At 45.9% G+C, this 20,891-nt stretch overlaps 1 protein-coding gene across 7 annotated transcripts, besides 2 other annotated features; it reads left to right on the plus strand.

The window, feature by feature from the left end:
• The first annotated feature begins 957 nt into the window (after nt 1-957).
• WNT8A (Wnt family member 8A) lies at nt 958-15,956 on the plus strand. 7 transcript variants are annotated; one of them, XM_047417692.1, is made up of 8 exons: nt 958-1,091; nt 2,470-2,533; nt 3,468-3,682; nt 7,841-7,874; nt 8,089-8,227; nt 11,397-11,522; nt 12,518-12,660; nt 14,119-15,132. In XM_047417692.1, exons 6-8 carry the CDS (start codon nt 11,444-11,446, stop codon nt 14,662-14,664), a joined length of 768 nt encoding a protein of 255 aa, XP_047273648.1. In that variant the 5' UTR covers nt 958-1,091; nt 2,470-2,533; nt 3,468-3,682; nt 7,841-7,874; nt 8,089-8,227; nt 11,397-11,443; the 3' UTR covers nt 14,665-15,132. The 7 variants fall into 7 exon arrangements, 6 of the variants coding, with proteins under 6 accessions (XP_047273648.1, XP_016865315.1, XP_047273649.1 ...); NR_125351.2 differs by lacking the exons at nt 958-1,091; nt 2,470-2,533; nt 3,468-3,682 and adding exons at nt 7,624-7,748; nt 15,682-15,956 and having other exon boundaries at nt 14,119-14,647; nt 14,950-15,132; XM_017009826.2 differs by lacking the exon at nt 3,468-3,682.
• Nucleotides 13,846-14,384: an enhancer, noted in NCBI's record as "H3K4me1 hESC enhancer chr5:137425944-137426482 (GRCh37/hg19 assembly coordinates)". NCBI's record gives its function as "activates a minimal SCP1, AML or CMV promoter by ChIP-STARR-seq in naive H9 embryonic stem cells {active_cell/tissue: H9 hESC(naive)}" and the evidence as "EXISTENCE:reporter gene assay evidence [ECO:0000049][PMID:30033119]".
• Nucleotides 18,417-19,349: an enhancer, noted in NCBI's record as "OCT4-NANOG-H3K27ac-H3K4me1 hESC enhancer chr5:137430515-137431447 (GRCh37/hg19 assembly coordinates)". NCBI's record gives its function as "activates a minimal SCP1, AML or CMV promoter by ChIP-STARR-seq in naive and primed H9 embryonic stem cells {active_cell/tissue: H9 hESC(naive and primed)}" and the evidence as "EXISTENCE:reporter gene assay evidence [ECO:0000049][PMID:30033119]".

Raw genomic sequence — 20,891 nt, forward strand, 5'->3', positions numbered from 1 at the left:
ATATAATATATTAATATGTATATAGCTTGGCACACTGGTGCATACATGTAGTCCTAGCTAGTCAGAAGGCTGAGGTGGGAAGATTGCTTGAGCCCAGGAGTTTGAAGCCAGCCTGAGCAACATAGCAAGACCCCATCTTTAAAAAGAAAAAAAAATTATATATGTATATATAAACATTTATATATGCAGAGAAAAAAAATCCACACTAAACTGTTCATAATTATTACTTACAGGGAGTTGGATGTCAGAGACTCCTATTTTTTACATTACATATTTCCATGTTTTATTTAATTTTTTTGGTAACAAGCATGAATTACATTTTTTTTTTCTCGAGACGGAGTCTTGCTCCATCACTCAGGCTGGAGTGCAATGGTGTGATCTCGACTCACTGCAACCTCTGCCTCCTCAGTTCAAGCAATTCTCCTGCCTCAGCCTCCTGAGTAGCTGGGATTACAGGTGCGCACCACCACACCTGGCTAATTTTTTGTATTTTTAGTAGAGACGGGGTTTCACCATATTGGCCAGGCTGGTCTTGAACTCATGACCTCATGATCCTCCTGCCTCAGCCTCCCAAAGTGCTGGATTACAAGGGTGAGCCACCGTGCCTGGCCTATGCTTTTTTTAAAAGCGTATTTTTTGTGTGTGCACATTCAAATATGTGTTGCTTGGTTGATTGATGACTTTTTCGATTATATCTTACATCCATAAGCATAGTGCAAGTTTTTCAAAGACAAAGATCCCTTTACAAGGTTTACAGCTCAGTGCCAATCACTGGGCTGGCTATCCATTAGGCAGGTACTGGATAATGGCTAAAATTCCAGTACTGAACGCACATTATGGCAACAAAAGAGCCTGTTGTACTATTCACTGCCAGCAGATGGCAGGCCTTCATCAGAAGTCCCTTCTATGGCATTTCCTTATTTATCCCTTTCATCCTTCCAACCTTTCCAACGTTCCTTATTTCACTGTACTATTAAAAATAATTTAAACTTCTCTCTCTCTCAGACCAGAATGAGAGCTTCTACAGGATGAAAATATCTCCTAATTCATCTTGGACTCATAAGTATTGAGTATTGGCCTGAACCGAGTAGGTAAATATTTTTGGAATGAATAAATGCATATTTCTCTGAAAACTAGTAAAATCCTACAACCAGCTCCAAACCTTCTTCTTTGACAATTAATCAAGAAACATTAATTGATAACTTCTGTGTCCTATCCAGAGATGGATAGGACAGAGATGGAGGTTTAAAACAATGAGGGAATAAAAAACAAGCGGTTTTAGCCAACTGAAACCTTGTATTGGGTGAGCCCCTCCAACTCTAACTCTTCCTAGGCTAATGGTGAAGATGAGGCCTCTGCCATTTGGGTACCTCAGTCTGATGGGAGAAACACGTCCCTATCCTTGGGCGATCGCTGTGTGGCTGGGATTGGCAGGGCCCAGCCTTAGGCAGCTCCCAGATTGATGAAAGAAACATACTTGGCAACACAAAACAGATCTAGTCATGGCTTTCAGACTGATCCCCCCTCATATGCCTCTGTCCTCACAGGCCCATGCATCCAACAGACCACCAACTGATGCCATTTTCACACAGGAGGACCTCATTTCCCTCCCCACACCTGGAACCCTGAATCTGAAAGGGAAAACAGAAGTATTCCACTTTTTTTCCCAGAGCATATTGTTGGGGAACTTGGCAAGTTACTGAGGCTAAATTGAAGGGGCCAAAGGGAGGGTCAGGAGCTCAAGCAGCTGTGGCATTTGGACTGGGAGTCAAGTATCCTCAGGGGGTGAGAAGCTTCCAGGGAGGAGGGGTGGAGACCAGGGGTAGAAAATCCCTAAACTCTGCTCCCTGTCACAGCTCAGAAGAATATGCATGGAGGCTCATTCTCCCCCTGCCCCAATCCTTTATCTAATTAGCAGAGAAGTGTAAAAAGTCAGAAATCCTATCTCTTTGTCTTTTGGCATTCTCCAGTCACCTCCACCCCCTCTCTACTCCCTCTCAGCTCTTCTGCAACTTGCTCCTACAGTCTAATCAGCCCCTGTAGGCTCAGAGCCCTGCAAGGAGCCTGAGAAAGAAATGCTGAGGATCGAAGGATTTGGGAAGTTCAGTGAAAGTGCACTTTTAGAAAGAAGCACTGGCCTAGGATGTATACCTTTGCTGTTGGGTGACCAGCTATCCTGGTTTGCTCAAAACCCTCCTGGCCTTAACATTGAAAGCCTTAAACTATAGGAGACCTCTCAGTCCTGGGCAAACCAGGATGCTGGAATCCAGGCTCTCTTGGCCCCAAAACACTGTGTAACCCTCAATAAGTTCTCTCTCTATGGGACTCAGTTGCCTCCTTGTCAAATGGGACTCTCTAGTTCAGACACTCTAAGGTTCCACGAATGGCCTCTGAATTTCCTGAAACTAGGCACAGCTAGGGTGACGTTGTTATATCCTTTATTGATAATAGTCCTCAATGCTTCCCTAGGACTCCTGGAATCTCATCATCATCCTGGAACATTAGAGGTGGAAGGGGTCTTCAGGATTACCTGGTAATACCTTTCCAGAAGTGTGAATGCTTATTCATCGTATCTATTTACGTGTTCTACCTGACATTATAGATAGATACATACCTTATCTCCTGTTACTAGACAGTAAGCTCCATGAAGGCGGGTAGTAAGAGGAAAAATTAAAGCCCTGCACATCACTGAAACAATTATTGGGTGTTAAATTCCACACTTTCCACTTTACCTCCCTGTGGCCTAGAGGGAGGACACTGGGCTCCAGCGGTGTGCTGAAGGCAGCTTATACCCACTCCTGAGAGCGACTGTTGCATTTTTAGGAATTTTGCAAACTGGTTGTTAAATAAAGCCAATATTCAAAATTAAATTATATAAACTTATAATTATATTATAATTATTATTAATTATATATTAATTATATAATAATTATATAATAATTATATATTAATTATAATTATATTAAAAACAAAGGTAACAAATACTCAAAATTCATCACTTCCTAATTAGTTTGCTAAATTTCACTATCATTTATGCTGAAGGCTATTTATACCCATTATATCTATATGACAGAAATATTATATAATGATATACTACATCTCTTCCCAAGTCTACATTGGCAGTTTGCAATTCACTATGCTCTAGTATTTATACCATGAAAATTAGCAAATATTACCAATCAGGCTCCTGCCACACCCAAGCCAGTTGTTAATCATTTACCAGCACACCAGGGCTTTAGAGATACTACTATTCAATCTATCTTGTCACAGGCTCATCTGTCCCTACCATCATCTTCTGTTCTAGTCTTCAGCTCTAGATTTCCATTCCTGCAAGAGAGAAACCAAGAGTTGGATCATTACTTAAAAGCTAATGAGACAATAGAGCTGGGATTAAGGAAATTGATACACAGGTTGACTAGAAATGATTTGTAGACTTGATGTGGAATGCCTCTCACTATTCTCTCCAGGAAACCTCTGTCTGCAGTGAAAAATTTAGTCAGTCCAGCACAGGGGTCTTATGTAGATACACTCCAAAGGACTCTGAAGAAGGCATTGGTTATCCTCCAGGTATCCATCTTAAAGGCTCATCTAATCGTCAACTACAGGATTCAAAGATGTATAAGATAATTCTGGCCGGGCACAGTGGCTCACGTCTGTAATCCCAGCACTTTGGGAGGCCGAGGTGAGCAAATCCCTTGAAGCCAGGAGTTTGAGACCATCCTGTCCAACACGGTGAAACCCAGTCTCTTCTAAAAATGCAAAAATTAGCCAAGCGTGGAGGCGAGCACCTGTAATCCCAGCTACTTGGGTGGCTGAGGCATGAGAATGGCTTTGAACCCAGGAGGCAGAGGTTGTGGTGAGCTGAGATTGCACCACTGCACTCTAGCCTGGGTGACAGAGACTCCTTCTCAAAAAAAAAAAAAACAAAAAACCGCACACACAAACAAAAAAAGATAATTCCAACGCTCGCAACTGAAGAAGATAAGATTTCTGGCCTACAATCACCTCTGGGATTCATAAACTCTGTAAATCTTGTTTTTTTTTTTTTTTTTTTTTTTTGGCTAATTTTTATATTTTTAGTAGAGATGAGGTTTCTCCATGTTGGTCAGGCTGGTCTCAAACTCCTAAACTCAGGTGATTTGCCTGCCTTGGCCTCCCAAAGTGCTGGGATTACAGAATTACAGGAGTGAGCCCTGGACTTTTTTTTTAGAGACAGGGTCTCATTCTGCCATCTAGGCTAGAGTACAGTGGCGCAATCATGGCTCACTGTAGCCTCAAAGTCCTGAGCTCAGGCGATCCTCCCCACTCAGCCTCCCAAAGGGCTGGGATTATAGATGTGAGCTACCATGCCCAGCCCAGCTGGGAAAGTCTTTAGTGGTCATTCAACCTTCAACATTTTCCTCACTCCCTCATTTTGGAGATGAAGAATCTAAGTCCAGATGGTGGTAAATATCTTGCCCAAGGTCACACAACAAGCCCAGGGCTCCTGATACCTGGAGCAGAGGCCTCTCTATAAATTCTCACTTCCATTTAGAAAAACTATATGATCTTGCCGGGCGCAGTGGCTCACGCCTGTAATCCCAGCACTTTGGGAGGCCGAGACGGGTGGATCACGAGGTCAGGAGATCGAGACCATCCTGGCGAACACAGTGAAACCCTGTCTCTACTAAAAATTCAATACAGGCGGGCGCCTGTAGTCCCAGCTACTCGGGAGGCTGAGGCAGGAGAATGGCGTGAACAAGGGAGGCGGAGCTTGCAGTGAGCGGAGATCGCGCCACTGCACTGCAGCCTGGGCGACAGAGCGAGACTCTGTCTCAAAAAAAAAAAAAAAAAGAAAAACTATATGATCTTTATAGAATCTGAGCAGGAGCGAGCACAGTTTGCATACAAAAAACTATCTTCCCCTCTGCTTCCTAGAAAAAAAAGAGTATTTTTTTGTAGAGTACCAATTAAATGCCAGGTGCAGCGGAGAACACAGAAGCATAAGACCCAGTCACTCACACACAGGAAGTGAAAGCGGAGTCACTCCTAAAACTCTTTCGAGGTGGCAGGGGACTTCCTCGGAGCTATCACTAACCCAGTTCTGACCCCAGAGTGAATGCCATGGAAATCAACCCTGCTGTCTTAAGAAGTGAAAGTTAAATTAGATTCTTGATTGGGAAAAGTAGGAGACAGAGAAAAGGCCGCTGAGGCTAACTCAGTGGGCTTTTCTCGCTTAACTCAAGTCTGGGACACCTATTTTCCCCAAGCAGAGAGGCCCACAAGCAATCAAAGGAAGAGAGCTTGCGGGGGGCTGGGAGGCAGAGCTTTAGTCCATTAGGACTTTTTGTCCTCATCCTTCTGAAGAAATGAAACAAAAAACTACATACAAAATAAGAGCCCAAATTTCCTCCTAGGTTTAGCATATCTAAAATTGCTCCAAATTGCTATAAAAATTTCTAAACACTTCTATTTTTGTAATTATCTTATGTCAGAAGGACAACAGTCAGTTTGCAGACCGACGCCAAGCCTGGCCCATACTTGGAGTATGCCCTAAAGACACCTGGGGACTCTTTGGCCCCTGGAACTCCTTTGGTGGGGGGATCTCTGAGCTCCACTTCCCACCCAAACCAGGTCCAAAGTTCTGGGAAGTGATCTGGATGTTGTAATGGTCACAGGATGGAGTCAGAACTGTGACTTTCCATCTATGCTTTCCTCTGAACTTCTCTAGACTTCCTTCTCCAGCCTTAGGAAAGAGCTTCAGCAACCAAGAAGGACTTTCCCACCTTTTGTTCTAGTCCCCAAGCATACCTAATGGTGCCCACTAGGGGTCACAGGGTCTTTCGTTTGTTCATCCAGGTGCCTTCTTAAGCTCTAAGAACCGAAAGTGAACCTAAAAGACATTCCTGGCTGGGTGCGGTGGCTCATGCCTGTAATCCCAGCACTTCAGGAGGCCAAAGGCGTGTGGATCACCTGATGTCAGGAGTTTGAGACCAGCCTGGCCAACATAGGGAAACCCTGTCTCTACTAAAAGTACAAAATTAGCTGGACATGGTGGCACATGCCTGTAATCTCAGCTACTGGGGAGGCTGAGGCAGGAGAATCACTTGAACACAGAGGTGGAGGTTGCAGTAAGTTGAGATGGCACACTTGCACTCCAGCCCGGGTGACAAGAGTGAAACTCTGCCTCAAAAAATAAAATAAAATAAGGCTGGGTATGGTGGCTCACGCCTGTAATCCCAGCACTTTGGGAGGCCGAGGCAGGTGGATCACGAGATTAAGAGATCGAGACCATCCCGGCCAACATGGTGAAACCCGTCTCTACTAAAAATACAAAAATTAGCTGGGCATGGTGGCGCACACCTGTAATCCCAGCTACTCCGGAGGCTGAGGCAGGAGAATTGCTCGATCCCAGGAAGTGGAGGTTGCAGTGAGCCGAGATCATGCCACTGCACTCCAGCCTGGCGACAGAGTGAGACTCCATCTCAAAATAAATAAATAAATAAATAAATAAATAAATAAATAAATAAATAAAATAAAATAAAAGACAGATTCCCACCTAAGGAGCTGAAGTCCTAGTAACAAAGTAGTATCAGAAAGAAAGGCATCAGGGCCACGCCCAGTGGCTCATGCCTATAATCCCAGCATTTTGGGAGGCCAAGGTGGGCAGATCACTTGAGCCCAGGAGTTCAAGACCAGGCTGGCCAACTGGCGAAACCCCTTCTCTACTAAAAATACAAAATTTAGCTGGGTGTGGTGGCTGGCACCTGTAGTCTCAGATACTTGGGAGGCTGAGGTAGGAGAATCACTTGAACCCAGGAGGCAGAGGTTGTAGTGAGCTGAGATTGCACCACTGCACTCCAGCCTGGGCGACAGAGCGAGAGACTCTGTCTCAAAAAAAAAAAAAAAAGAGAAAGGCATCAGTCTTCCCAAATATAACCCTGGGTGGCCCTAAGGTTGGTTCTCAGATATATAAAAAATCAACTAACTGGAGTTGTAACCCTCAGATATAAAAGGATAGATTTGCTAGGAATTAAGGAAATTTCCCAGCAGTTGCTAGAATGTGGTGGAAGGGACTGTTGCAGAGATGGACTCTGAAGTGTTCCTGCTCCATAGTCCCACAGCTCCATCACCTCACAGCCTTGAAGGAAGTGGTAGGGATGGCGCACTCACTGGTTTAGGTAAATGAGTAGGAAGCAGCCCCAGATGGAGTTGCTTTATGATTATTAACACCTTGGGGAGGATGGCAGGACAGAGAGTGGGCTCTCACTGACAGATGAGGACACTGTAGCTCCAAGAATAGGTGACCTGCCTTCAGGGTTAAGGACCCAGCCTGCTCTGGCCTACATGATTCTGAGAAATGGGCCAAAGAAGCAGGAAGAGACAAAATTGACATATAGAAGAAAGAAATCTCACGTATAGGAGAAAAGCAGCCTCCTTCTCATTCTGGGAGGGAAGAAGGGCTGGAGGGGCTGGGCAGGGCGGGGCTTTTGGCGAAAACTGAGTCCCTCCTCCCAGATCCCCCACTGGGCCGGTGGCTCCTGCAGCCCTGCCAGTTAGGAACAAATGAGAAGAGCTGCTGATTTCCTCCCTTGGACATTCAGAATTTTCTCACATAAATACTGAGGAAGACCCTGCCCTCTCCTCACTTCTCTGGACTTGGCCCTGAGCTGGACCTGGTCCACTGGGGTAGGCAGGGCGATGGGGAACCTGTTTATGCTCTGGGCAGCTCTGGGCATATGCTGTGCTGCATTCAGTGCCTCTGCCTGGTAAGTCCTTTCCCAACCCTCACTCCTTGCCAAGGAGGCCCCCATTGTCTCATCCCCATTCACCTCTGCCTCACTTTTTCTCTTTTTGGTAGGTCAGTGAACAATTTCCTGATAACAGGTCCCAAGGTAGGATGATCTCCAGCTTCTGTTTTTACCCACTGAGGGCCCTAAGGGGACTCTTCTGGAGAAAAGAGGGGCGGGGACAGTGCCAGAGCCCCTCACCCAGAGGAACCCATGGTTGATTCTTAATGGAGAGCTGGCCCATCTGAGTCCTGCCTGCTCCCCCAACCACAGATGACCCATACCGGGCAGAAGCTCACAGCCCTTTTCCCTTTGCCAGGCCTATCTGACCTACACGACTAGTGTGGCCTTGGGTGCCCAGAGTGGCATCGAGGAGTGCAAGTTCCAGTTTGCTTGGGAACGCTGGAACTGCCCTGAAAATGCTCTTCAGCTCTCCACCCACAACAGGCTGAGAAGTGGTAAGTTTGTGTGGGACTCACCTGTACAAGGGGTATATATGTGAATGGAGTGGGGCTTGCAGTATGTGTATATGTGTGACATGTATTGCACAGTGAAATAAAAATGCTGCCAGTGACCTGCTGACCTGCCATTTCCTTGCTGTGTGGCCTTGAGTAAATTACCTACCCTCTCTCAGCCCCAGATTTGTCATTTGGGTCAGTAAGGCCAGTTCTGTTTAGTTCATCAGAAGTATCCTATGGGTTGAATGAGGTGGGTATGAGGTGTCTCTATGTATGAGATAAATGTAGGAAATTACTCTTTTTTTTTTTTCTTTTTTTGAGACGGAGTCTCACTCTGTTGCCCAGGCTGGAGTGCAATGGCGCAATCTCGGCTTACCGCAACTTCCGCCTCCGGAGTTCAAGTGATTCTCCTGCCTCAGCCTCCCGAGTAGCTGGGATTACAGGCATGCAACATGCCTGGCTAATTTTTTGTATTTTTAGTAGAGATGGGGTTTCACCATGTTGGCCAGGCTGGTCTCAAACTCCTGACCTCAGGTGATCCACCCACCTCAGCCTCCAAAAGTGCTGGGATTACAGGCGTAAGCCACCGTGCCCAGCGGAAATTACTCTATTTTTTAAATGCATGCCTATATTTGTGCGTTTGTACACACTGATCTTGCACTGAGTTGCATGAAATAAAAATGGGGAAAGGGCTGTGTGTTTGCAGCTCCTGAGGAAGTTTCACATGGCTAACTGCCATAAAATCTCAACAGAAAAGCTGAGACGTCACATTGAGTTGTGCCTCAGGTGGGGTGTGTGTCTATGTGTGTGTATGGGTGTGCACGTGCACCCATTTGTAACTGTGTGCCGTAGTTTGCATGTCATTTTTGAAGATAACATTCACCTGAGAATAGTTAGGGGAACGAGAGTAAAGAAGACGGAGAAAGTGGCTAAGCACGTGTTGGAACCATGCCTATAATCCCAGCACTTTGGAAGGCTAAGGCAGGAGGATCGCTTGAGTTCAGGAGTTCGAGACCAGCCTGGGCAACATAGCAAGACCTCGTCTCTACTAAAAATAAAAGTAAAAATATTAGCCGGCATGGTAGCATGTGCCTGTAGTCCCAGAGACCTGGAAGGCTGAGTTGGGAGGATTTCTGGAACCCAGGAGTTCAAGGATATAGTGAGCTATGATCACACCACTACACTCCTGCCTGGGTGACAGAGCAAGACCTTGTCTCAAAAAAAAAAAAAAAAAAAAAAGATGAGGTTCAAAAGAAATGTCTCCCCATGGGGTATACAGATAGAATAGGGAGTATGTAGAAATAAAATGTGACAATGTTTGTAAAGAGTTTAGTAAGATAAGAGTTCAGTAGGTGGCAGTCAGGATGATTATGATTATTACATGGCCCAAACTTCCCAGTCAGAAGCAGCAAAGGTCCTCCTCTCTCTCCTAGGCCAGCATCAAGCCCTGAGTCTCACTGCCTAAAGACTAGCAGCAGTGGCTAGTGGACAGAGGTCTAGGCTGGACTCTAAGAGGGCAAGGTCCCGATCCCAACACCACAATTGGAAAGTGGTCTTGTTCTCATCATTCTTTATTTCTTTCTTTCTTTATTTATTTTTGAGACAGGGTTTCACTTTTTTACCCAAGCTAGTTTGCAGTGGCGCGATCTTGGCTCAATGCAGCCTCTGCCTCCCAGGCTCAGGCAATTCTCCCACTTCAGCCTCCTGAGTAGCTGGGACTATAGGCATGCACCCCCATGCCCGGCTAATTTTTGTATTTTTTGTAGAGACAGGGTTTCGTCATGTTGCCCAGGCTGGTCTCGAACTCCTGAGCTCAAGCAATCCACCCAACTTAACCTCCCAAAGTGCTGGGATTACATTGGCCTCATCATTCTATCTCTGGTTTTTACTTTCCCCATTGGTTAACATAGGGATGTTCATTCCTGCCTGGATGAAGGAAGGAGGCTGAAAAAATATGCATTGTTCTTTCAAATAGAAGAGCATTGGCTGGATGCAGTGGCTCACACCTGTAATCCCAGCACTTTGGGAGGCTGAGACGGGAGGATTGCTTGCGCCCAGGAGTTCAAGTCCAGCCTGGGCAACATAGTGAGACCCTATTTCTAATACAATAATAATAGGCCAGGTGCGGTGGCTCATGCCTGTAATCCCAGCACTTTGGGAGGCCAAGGTGAGTGGATCACTTGAGCCCAGGAGTTCTAGACCACTCTGGCCAACATGGTGAAACCCCATATGTACTAAAGACCAAAAAAAAAAAAAAAAAATAGCCGGGTGTGGTAGCATGCACCTATAGTCCCAGCTACTCAGGAGGCTGAGGCACGAGAATTGCTTGAACCTGGAAGGCGGAGGTTACAGTGAGCCAAGATCGCGCTACTGCACTCCAGCCTGGACAACAGAGTAAGAGCCTATCTCAAAAAATAAAATAATAATTAAAAAAAAATAGGCCAGGCACAGTGGCTCACGCCTGTAATCCCAGCACTTTGGGAGGCCAGGCAGGTGGGTCACCTGAGATCAGGAGTTCAAGACCAGCCTGGCCAACATGGTGAAACCCCATCTCTACTAAAAATACAAAAATTAGCTGGGGGTGGTGGCATGTACCTGCTACTCAGGAGGCTGAGGCAGGAGAATCGCTTGAACCTGGGAGGCGGAGGTTGCAGAGAGCCGAGATCATGCCACTGCACCCCAGCCTGGGCAACAGAGTGAGACTCTGTCTCAAAACAAAAACAAAAACAAAAAAATGACCAGCCACAGTGGTTCACGCCTGTAATCCCAGCACTTTGGGAGGCCAAGGAGGGCAGATCATGTGGTCAAGAGATCGAGACCATCCTGGTCAACAAGGTGAAACCCCATCTCTACTAGAAATACAAAAATTAGCTGGGCATGGTGGCACGCACCTGTAGTCCCAGCCAGCTACTCAGGAGGCTGGGGCAGGAGAATTGCTTGAACCTGGGAGGCAGAGGTTGCAGTGAGCCAAGATCATGCCACTGCACTCCAGCCTGGTGACAGAGCGAGTCTCAAAAAAAAAAAAAAAAAAAAAAAAAGAAAGAAAAGCATCCTCTTAAACCCAAAGGAAGTGGGGGATAAGGGAGATAAACAGTATTATTTTTCCAAAGCCTCTGCTTTGGGTAATCAGGGTCCAGGTTTCCAGTCAGTTCCCTCTCTCTCTCCAAAGCTACCAGAGAGACTTCCTTCATACATGCTATCAGCTCTGCTGGAGTCATGTACATCATCACCAAGAACTGTAGCATGGGTGACTTCGAAAACTGTGGCTGTGATGGGTCAAACAATGGAAAAACAGGTAAGTTGAGCTTTCTAATGGGGGTGGGAAGAGGTGAGGGGCTACAGAGCTGAGTGCAGACTAAAGTCTTCCAGAGAAAGGCTGAGGGACACAGCTCCCTTAAACCTCAAGACTCCAGCAACTCCTTCAATTGTAGGATCTCCTAGCCTTACACTCTCAGAGTTGAGCCTGGGTCCATGAGTCTAGGTGTTAGCAAGTAGCTCTAAAAGCAACAAGGCAATTAGAAATGAGAAAGCCGAAGAGACTTAAAGCTAGCCCTGGTATTTCAGGCTTGGAATGGTTCATCCATAATCTAGAGCTACTCAGCAATTTACAGATTACCTAAGACACTTACTCAGATTTATCACTAATGAAGGAGGTAGTAGCCTTTACGAGATGATTGTAGAATAATGGTGCAGAATTCCAGAATGTTTGAGCTGCAGTGAACCTTTTTTTTTTTTTTTGAGATGGAGTCTCGCTCTGTCGACTAGGCTGGAGTGCAGTGGCGCGATCTCAGCTCACTGCAAACTCCACCTCCCAGGTTCACGCCATTCTCCTGCCTCAGCCTCCCGAGTAGCTGGGACTACAGGTGCCCGCCACCACACTCGGCTAATTTTTTGTATTTTTAGTAGAGATGGGGTTTCACCGTGTTAGCCAGGATGGTCTTGATCTCCTGACCTCGTGATCCGCCTGCCTTGGCCTCCCAAAGTGCTGGGATTACAGACGTGAGCCACCACGCCTGGCCAAGCTGCAGTGAACCTTTGAGAGCATCTGTTAGCCCCCAGTGTACCTACTTTTACTGTGGGTATAGAAGACTAATTGCTTATGGCTGGGAAGTGTCTGAAGGGTGGGCAGTTGGCTTTGGCAACAGGACTCCCACCCACCCCAAGCACCTCCATTTCCCTGTCTCACCTTCAGCCATAGCTTTACACTCTAGGGCTCTTGGGGGTGGTTTGGCGGGTGACTGGGACTGAGCATGGAGCTACACGGAGAACTTATTCTGTCCTTGTATATAGGAGGCCATGGCTGGATCTGGGGAGGCTGCAGCGACAATGTGGAATTTGGGGAAAGGATCTCCAAACTCTTTGTGGACAGTTTGGAGAAGGGGAAGGATGCCAGAGCCCTGATGAATCTTCACAACAACAGGGCCGGCAGACTGGTGGGTATAGGCATTGTGGCCAGTATTTCTACAGCTTCACATCTGCCCGGCCCTTCACAATTTACCAAGAGCTGTCTTATACGTTCTTTCCTCATACTACCCAGCCAGATTGAGATGGCTACCCGCATTCTCTGGATGACAAAACCAATTAAATCTGAGCCAAGTGGCTTGTCCAAGGCAACTAATAAGTGTCAGAGACAGGCAGTGAACTCAGATCTTCTCACTGAGTCCTCTTGTCATTGTATGTTCTGCTCTGCCCCTCCACACGCGGGCTTCTGAGAACACAGAACCGAGGCCTTGCTTCTATGACTTAAATTTTTATCACTTCAACTGCATGTTCTAGTAAATTAACAGGGCCTTGTTGTCCAGCCTTGTGTCCTAAAGTCTGTCTGGGCTGTGGGGAATTGGGATTGATCTAGGCTTCTCTGGAGTGTCAAACTCTCCCCCAAGACTTCTAGTGGGGTGGCAGTCTCTGGAGTATTCTGAACACAAATCTGGAAACAAGTTGGATTTAGAGCCAAAAGCATAGAAATTTCCTGTGAACCTATACCTAGATATCCTGGTTGCCCAGGGAAAGGGGGAAAGGGGTTTTTGGGCTTGGGGTTTTTTTGAGACAGGGTCTTACTCTGTCTCCCAGGCTGAAGTGCAGTGGTGCCATCTCGGCTCACTGCAGCCTCCACCTCCCAGGCTGAAGCCATCCTCCCACCTCAGCCTCCTGAGAACCTGGGACTACAGGTGCTTGCCACTATGCCCAGCTAGTTTTTGTGGGTTTTGTAGAGATGAGGTTTCCCCATATTGCCCAGGCTGGTCTTGGCCTCCTGGGCTCAAGCGATCCTCTTGCCTCAGCCTCCCAACGTCTTGGAATTATAGGCATGAGCCACCACATCCAGCCAGGAAGAGGTTTTTTAAGCAAGTACAACCATGGGTAATTCATTGCCTTGGGGGTATAAGTGTTCAGACTCAAGGAGCTCCCTCCCCTCTCAGAGAAGACCCAGAGGACAAATCCAAACCCCCCAAAATACTCTCATGCCCAGCCTCAAGACAGTAACTGTGGCTATTATCATAGTTTCCTTTATAATTTACATAGTACTTCCTTGATTATTATTATATCCAATTCTTATTCCAGCTGGGCAGATAGAGAAAAGCTTGACAAGTGATACAGTTGAGCCTGGAGCAGAGGTTTCTGGACTCTAGTAACCTTCTCAGCTCTTGCCTGGCTCTCCATCAGAATCACCCAGGGAAGCTTTAAAATCACCAGTACCAGCCCCTTCCCCACTGAATATCCTCATTGAGAAGATCTGAGGTAGGGTCGAGGAATAAATATTTTTCGTGAGCTTCCCCAAATAATTCTGATGCTCCTTTAAAGTCAAGAAACACAGCTCTAAAACATTCCCTTTAATCACTAACCTTTGGTCTTCCCTACTCAGAGCCATTCTCTTTTGTGTTCTCTCTATGAAGGCAGTGAGAGCCACCATGAAAAGGACATGCAAATGTCATGGCATCTCTGGGAGCTGCAGCATACAGACATGCTGGCTGCAGCTGGCTGAATTCCGGGAGATGGGAGACTACCTAAAGGCCAAGTATGACCAGGCGCTGAAAATTGAAATGGATAAGCGGCAGCTGAGAGCTGGGAACAGCGCCGAGGGCCACTGGGTGCCCGCTGAGGCCTTCCTTCCTAGCGCAGAGGCGGAACTGATCTTTTTAGAGGAATCACCAGATTACTGTACCTGCAATTCCAGCCTGGGCATCTATGGCACAGAGGGTCGTGAGTGCCTACAGAACAGCCACAACACATCCAGGTGGGAGCGACGTAGCTGTGGGCGCCTGTGCACTGAGTGTGGGCTGCAGGTGGAAGAGAGGAAAACTGAGGTCATAAGCAGCTGTAACTGCAAATTCCAGTGGTGCTGTACGGTCAAGTGTGACCAGTGTAGGCATGTGGTGAGCAAGTATTACTGCGCACGCTCCCCAGGCAGTGCCCAGTCCCTGGGTAAGGGCAGTGCCTGATAATACCCCACACAAGTTCACTTGATTAATTGCATCAGTGGAAGGGGACATAGCTTCTCTCTTAGAGAGAACAGATTGGAAAGCAATCGGAAAATTGCAGTTTTGGTCTGTAGTCCTCATGATATCTGCTATCAGTGGGGAAAATGGAGGCCCAAGATTCTACAGCATATTCCTGGCGGGGCTGAAATTGGAACCTGGGCCTCCTGACTTTGGCAGACCCCCATTTCATCTTTCCTGCAAACTACTTTCCCATCTTTGTGCCTGTACTTATGCAGCTTTCTACAGGGAGAGTTTGGTTTGGGGTCTATATCTAGAGGGACCTTCAAAGTATTTGTTCCTTTAAATTTCAGACCATGTCCAACCCAGCTGTGCTGCTGGGAATCAGGAGAATAGAAGCAAAAAACGAAAGAGTTCTGTTCAGACTTCTGAAGAGCAGCCTGTGGCTACAAATCTATGCTGATAAATGAGGTAAAGACCACATATCTGCCTACTGGAAAGTTTTAGAGTGTTGGATTTTTTATCCCCCAAGTATGCACTTTTGAAAAGCTCTTCCTCCAGCCTGGACAACATAGAAAGACACCATCTCTACACAAAATTTAAAAATTAGCTAGGTGTGGTGGCACTTGCCTGTAGTCCTAGATACTTGGGAGGCTGAAGTGAGAGGATCACTGGAGCCCAGGAGCTCGAGACTACAGTGAGGTGTGATTGTGCCATTGCACTCCAACCTGGGCAACAGAACTGAGACCCTGACTAAAAAATAAATAAATAAATAAATAAATAAATAAATAAATAAATAAATAAATAATAAAGAGAAAAGAAAATAAATTCTTCCCACCCACGCCTGGGGAAACCAGCACCCAGTATAACCTGGGGGTTTTTGCAGCTCATAAACCGTCTCTGGAGCCATGGAAAGGCAATCATGGCAGTCAGTGGACAGGTGACTATGACCTACCCAGACAAGGTCCCACAAGAGCGATGCTCCTCAGAGAGCTGGGGACTCTTCTGTTGTTTTCCCAGATTGAGAACTCAACTGTATTTTGCCATAAATGCTTCTAAGATATATCCAGCTGGGACTTCTATTACTCCCTTTGGAAACCTTAAGATCAAAAAGGGAATAAGAAACCCTTCTTCTGTATCCCAATAATCCACCAGGATAAAGGAGAAACTAGAAATATGCAACTCCCTTGATTTCAGTGTTTGGCAGGTAACAAAAAATTGAGACCCAGACACTGGTCAACAGGAAAACAATACAGACTCCCAGAATTAGAAAGTGTTATTTTAATGCAACCTAGGTAACTTGGGGAGTAAGGAAGCCCTTTGAACTTGGGCCATATTCAAAGTGTGTTTGCCCTCTTAACTTGGGCATCCTGGGGTGTCTGTACACCAAGACCTGGGCCCCAGGGCAAGAGACAAAAAGAGTTGTGGATTCTACCTACCTGCATTTGCACTTCCACATCTTCCAATGGTAATCTTTGGAGGAGGGGTAGTTTCCCATAAGGAGAGCCCTGGGAGCTTAGCCGCTGGTTTCCTAAATCTGAATATCTCAGCCTTGGGAATCTCTGCTGTCTGCACAGGCTTGCACCCTGCCTGGAGGAGATATTTTGAATATGTTGAATAAAAAGCAAAAATGATCACCAAAAATGGGAAAAAAACCCTAGCTTATTGTTTTAAATTAGAAAACAATTTAAGTGTTCAAAGTAGGATAAACAAGTAAATCATAACCTTACAGTAGACTATTAGCCACTAAAATATTCTTGAGAAATACTTAGTAATATGGAAAGCACGCATGATAGAATTAACTGAACAAAGTTGATTGCAAAATGGCATGTTCAGGATGAATCCAATTTTGTTTTTGTGGCAATGTGCAAATATTTGCCACTATGTGATACCAAAATAGAGTGGTTTGTTTTCCTTTTGTGTTTTTCTGTATTTTTACGTTTGCCTACAATAAATATTTTTTGTCATCAGAAAGAATTAATGTGTTATTTATTTTAATGCCAAAAAGGAATAACCAATCTTGTTTTTTAGTGAAAAGGAAGGTGAAATGTTCATGAAGGAAGCTGGCATCTCAAGAGAAACATTTAAAACTACCACAGATGTCAGAGAATAGATATAAGGACAGATACATAAAAGCGAAGCCTATGTCAAGGAAATGACAGATTTCCTCTCTGTCTCTCCTTCAATGGAAAGTTAAAAAGCACACTGCAGTAGTGACAGAGAAAGAAAATGTGTGTGGTGTGTGCTGCTTGGTGGTCATGGAAGGAGGAATGGAAATAGGCAACCAAAAGAAGATTATTTCCCTGAGGCTCAGAGAAAAAGCAAAAATAAAATTATCTAGCACAGAGGTTAAACCCTCAATAAATATAGATGTCAAAGCGTCCCACCCGAAACCTGAGTTGCGACCCTGTGCTAGAGAAATGAACACACTAGATTTCCCCCCCCCACACTAGATTCCTAACTGAATCTCCATCCAAAGAACCCAGGCACCTGAGGCTTTGACATCTTCCCCAGGACCTTACTGACATACCCCAATAATCTTGGCAGGGATTTTCAGAAGCAAAACCATCCCTGCTGCCCTGTTCAAAAGGTCATTCCAGGAGAACAAGCCTTTTGTTTACTGCGGGCTTATATCAGAGGTTTTCACCAAGAAATCTCAGGCAATGGGAATTCCTTGAAGTTTGTCTGCTGCCCCAAAAAACTCATAGTCTCCTAGTCTCTTCTCCTTCCAAGCCTTTCCCACCCTCATCCATCTTACCTTCAGAGCTATCAGTCACACCAACCAATCTTCCCACATGGACCCTGTGCCAGAAACAACAGGAATTTGGATTTCTCTACATCCATCGCCTTCCTGCCAAGGATTCATTCCAAGGCAACACAGCCTCATTCAGATTTGTCAGTTACAGCCCTATATCCCTTCCCTTTTGGTTCATCCTTAACAAGCTGGCTATCATTAAGGTGACAGAACAGTAAAACCCCGTTTCCATAGATTAAGGGCCCAAGACAGGCAGATTGGCCACGATCTGATGATGGATCTTGTAAACCTGCTGAAAAAGTGATCAATTCAATGAGGGAAACCTGTCCATGAGCCTATTCCCCTAGTTCAGTAAATCCAAGCACAGCATCACTTCGCCTGGACAATGGAATTCTGTATTTGCTCAGTCTAGATTAAAAGGAAAATATGCTTTTGGGAGGCCAAGGCGGGAGAATCACTTGAGGCCAGGAAGTTTGAGACCAGCCTGGGTAACACAGCGAGACTCGATCTCTACAACAACAACAAAAAAAAAAAAAAAAGAGGAAAGAAAGAAAAAGAGGCCAAGTGTGGTGGCTCACACCTGTAATCCCAACACTTTGGGAGGCCGAGGCAGGCAGATCACTTGAGTCCAGGAGTTAGAGACCAGCCTGGGCAACATGGCAAAACCCCTTCTCTACAAAAAATACCAAAAAGTTAGCCAGGCATGGTGGCATGCACCTGTAGTCACAACTACTCCAGAGGCTGAGGTAGCGGGATCCACTGAGCCTGGGAGGTCGAAGCTGCAGTGAGCTGTGATCACACCACTGCACTCCAGCCTGGGTGACAGAATGAGATCCTGTCTCAAAAAAAAAAAAAAAAAAGTTTTAAAACAAGAAAGAAAAAGAGAAAAAGAGAAGGAAGGAAAGAAAGAAAATAAATATGCTTATGCTTGCCAGACCCCTACAAATCTTTATCTCTTTTGTCTTTTTCTTTTCTTCCTTCTTTTCCTTCCCATCTGCTCTCTGATGTGGGCAGAATTAGGAGCTCCTAAGAAAACCCTGAGTCCTGTTCCCCGGGTCTCCTTTGGTTCACTGCCAATCTACTCAGGCTTGCTGGCAGGTGAGTAAGTGGTTAGGGAAACTAGAGTGGAAAGGAAGTAATTGATCACCTACTAAATGTCAGGTGCTTAACAGATATCGTCTCCTTCAATCCTCAGGCCAATCCAATTAAAGAGTTACAATTATTCCTTTCCAACTACTGAGGAAACTGGCTCAGAGAGAGGTTAAGCACCCCAACCTAAAATTAAATGCAGGGAGGTGAATTTAAATTCAGGCTACTACTGCCTCATAAATCCATACTCTTTCTTTTACACCACTTACACTATAGCAGTCCAGGGATCCCTGGCCACATTCTTAACCATCATGACAGTTTTGTAGAATGACTACCATTCATATGCAATGAAAGGTGTCCTCTCCTCCCTCTTCACCAAGCAAGGGAATCATATTTCTCAGCCTTTCTCCAGAATGAAGAAACCTAACTTTTGATTTGCAAAGGCCTTCCTTAGAATGATAAAGCAGAAAGCCTGGCTCCTGCTGATTTGTGGGGGCAGAATCCTGGTTCTCCAGGGGGTACCCAAAGAAAAAACTAACCATTATGGTCTACATTACAGGTCAAAGTTTCAAGAGGGAATGTCAAAGGAGGGCTGTTTATTTTAGAAGATAGAGAAAGGAAAAACAGGCTTCAGAGAAAAACGAACGTTTCTAGCCCCACATCACAAACTACTCATAATCCTATTGATGACAAAAGGCAGTGACCCTGGACCTAGATAAAGATGTTCAGATTGGGGGAAAATGAAAGCAAGGGCCAGATCAAAGGCTTCTAGAAGAGGTTAAAGACCTTTGGGTAGGAATAGAGCTCTAAACCACCCAATCCTGCAGCATTCCCTACCACTGAAGGCAAGCAGAGCCTGGAGGAGGAAAGTATCCTGCCCCTATCAGCACGTGAGATCGCAGAGGAGCAAAGAGTAGACTCCAGGGCCCTGGACAGCCTCCAAGGTTGGTGCTCTGCCTGCCCTGCTAGGCTGCCCTTCTCATGGAGCATCATCAGGAAAAGGATATGTGATGATCCAAGGAAAGAACTGAAGGAATTAGGCCAGGCGTCTGGGAGGCCTCCCACTACACTTGGTCAGCAAGCGACCAGTGAAACGATGGGCAGGGGAAGTGAGGATGTGGGTAGGAAGTGGGTGGGGAAGGCCCAGTGGTGCACCAGGTACCCAAACTCATTCCCACATTCCTCTCAGACTCTCAGGTACCCATGCATATCTGTGATGGGACTCAGTGATCTTGAGAAGGTCCCTTGTCATTTAATTGCCATCGGCTTCTTGCAGTCTATAAGAGATCACTTAATTCAGCCACCTGCTTCTTAACAGGAGAGCTCCTAAAGCCAAAAAAAAAGAGGCACACACTGTACATCCTGTTTTGAAAGACTGTCAGGAAGGGGAAAGCCAGTCCTTCCCTACCCAGGACAAAGTGCTTACCAGAGCATTTGCTCACGTCTACCCTGAATTAATACTATTACATCTTAAACTGGCGTCTCCTAGGACTTCATATTATGGATTTGAGGCCTTCAAACAGACCCATTCGCCAAAAGAAATAAGCCAATTACTTCAGTTTTTCACCAGTTGTCTCTTTTTCCCAGACTGTCTTCAGATACATGAACTTGAGTTTCTGTGAGGAGTTAGGTGGGGTATGAGTCAGACATCCTTTTCAAGCCTCAACTGCCTTCACCTCTTTCCCTCATGTGTCTGAAGAATCTATTTATTCTTGGTCTCACAGAGCTCTGATTGCCCCACTTGCATTTCTCCATGGCCAAAGTTCATTTCTTTCTTTTTTTGTTTTTGAGACAGGTTCTCACTCTGTTGCCCAGGCTGGAGTACAGTGGCATGATCATGGCTGACTGCAACCTCAAGCTTCCGGGCTCAAGGGATCCTCCCACCTCAGCCTCCTAAGTAGCTGAGACTGTAGGCATACACCACCATGCCCAGGTAAAATTTTATTTTTAATGTTCTGTAGCGATTAGGTCTCACTATGTTGCCCCAGCTGGTCTCGAACTCCTGGGCTCAAGTGATCCTCCTGCCTCAGCCTCTCAAAGTGCTTGGATTACAGGCGTGAACCACCACACCCAGCCCCAAAGTTCATTTCTAACCCCTTCCATCCCGACAAAATAACATTGATTCCCTGCTCTGTCCACTGGGATTGGGCCAGCAGAGTGGCCTCATTAGAGTCCTCCTGTGCTGGGGCTTGTGGTGGTGTGGGGACAAGAACAGGAAACTGACAATCAGGGCATCCAATCCCATGATTCACAACTGAGTACCTGAGATTTACAAATGGAGCATTGTTCTCCTGCCCACCTTACCTCTAAGCTGCTGTTGTCTGACTCATCTGCCATCTAGCCCTCCTTTATCAGTGAGGGTCTGGCCTGGCATAGTGCCTTATTT

The sequence above is a fragment of the Homo sapiens genome, chromosome 5 (genome assembly GCF_000001405.40).
Source record: "Homo sapiens chromosome 5, GRCh38.p14 Primary Assembly".
NCBI lineage: Eukaryota > Metazoa > Chordata > Mammalia > Primates > Hominidae > Homo > Homo sapiens.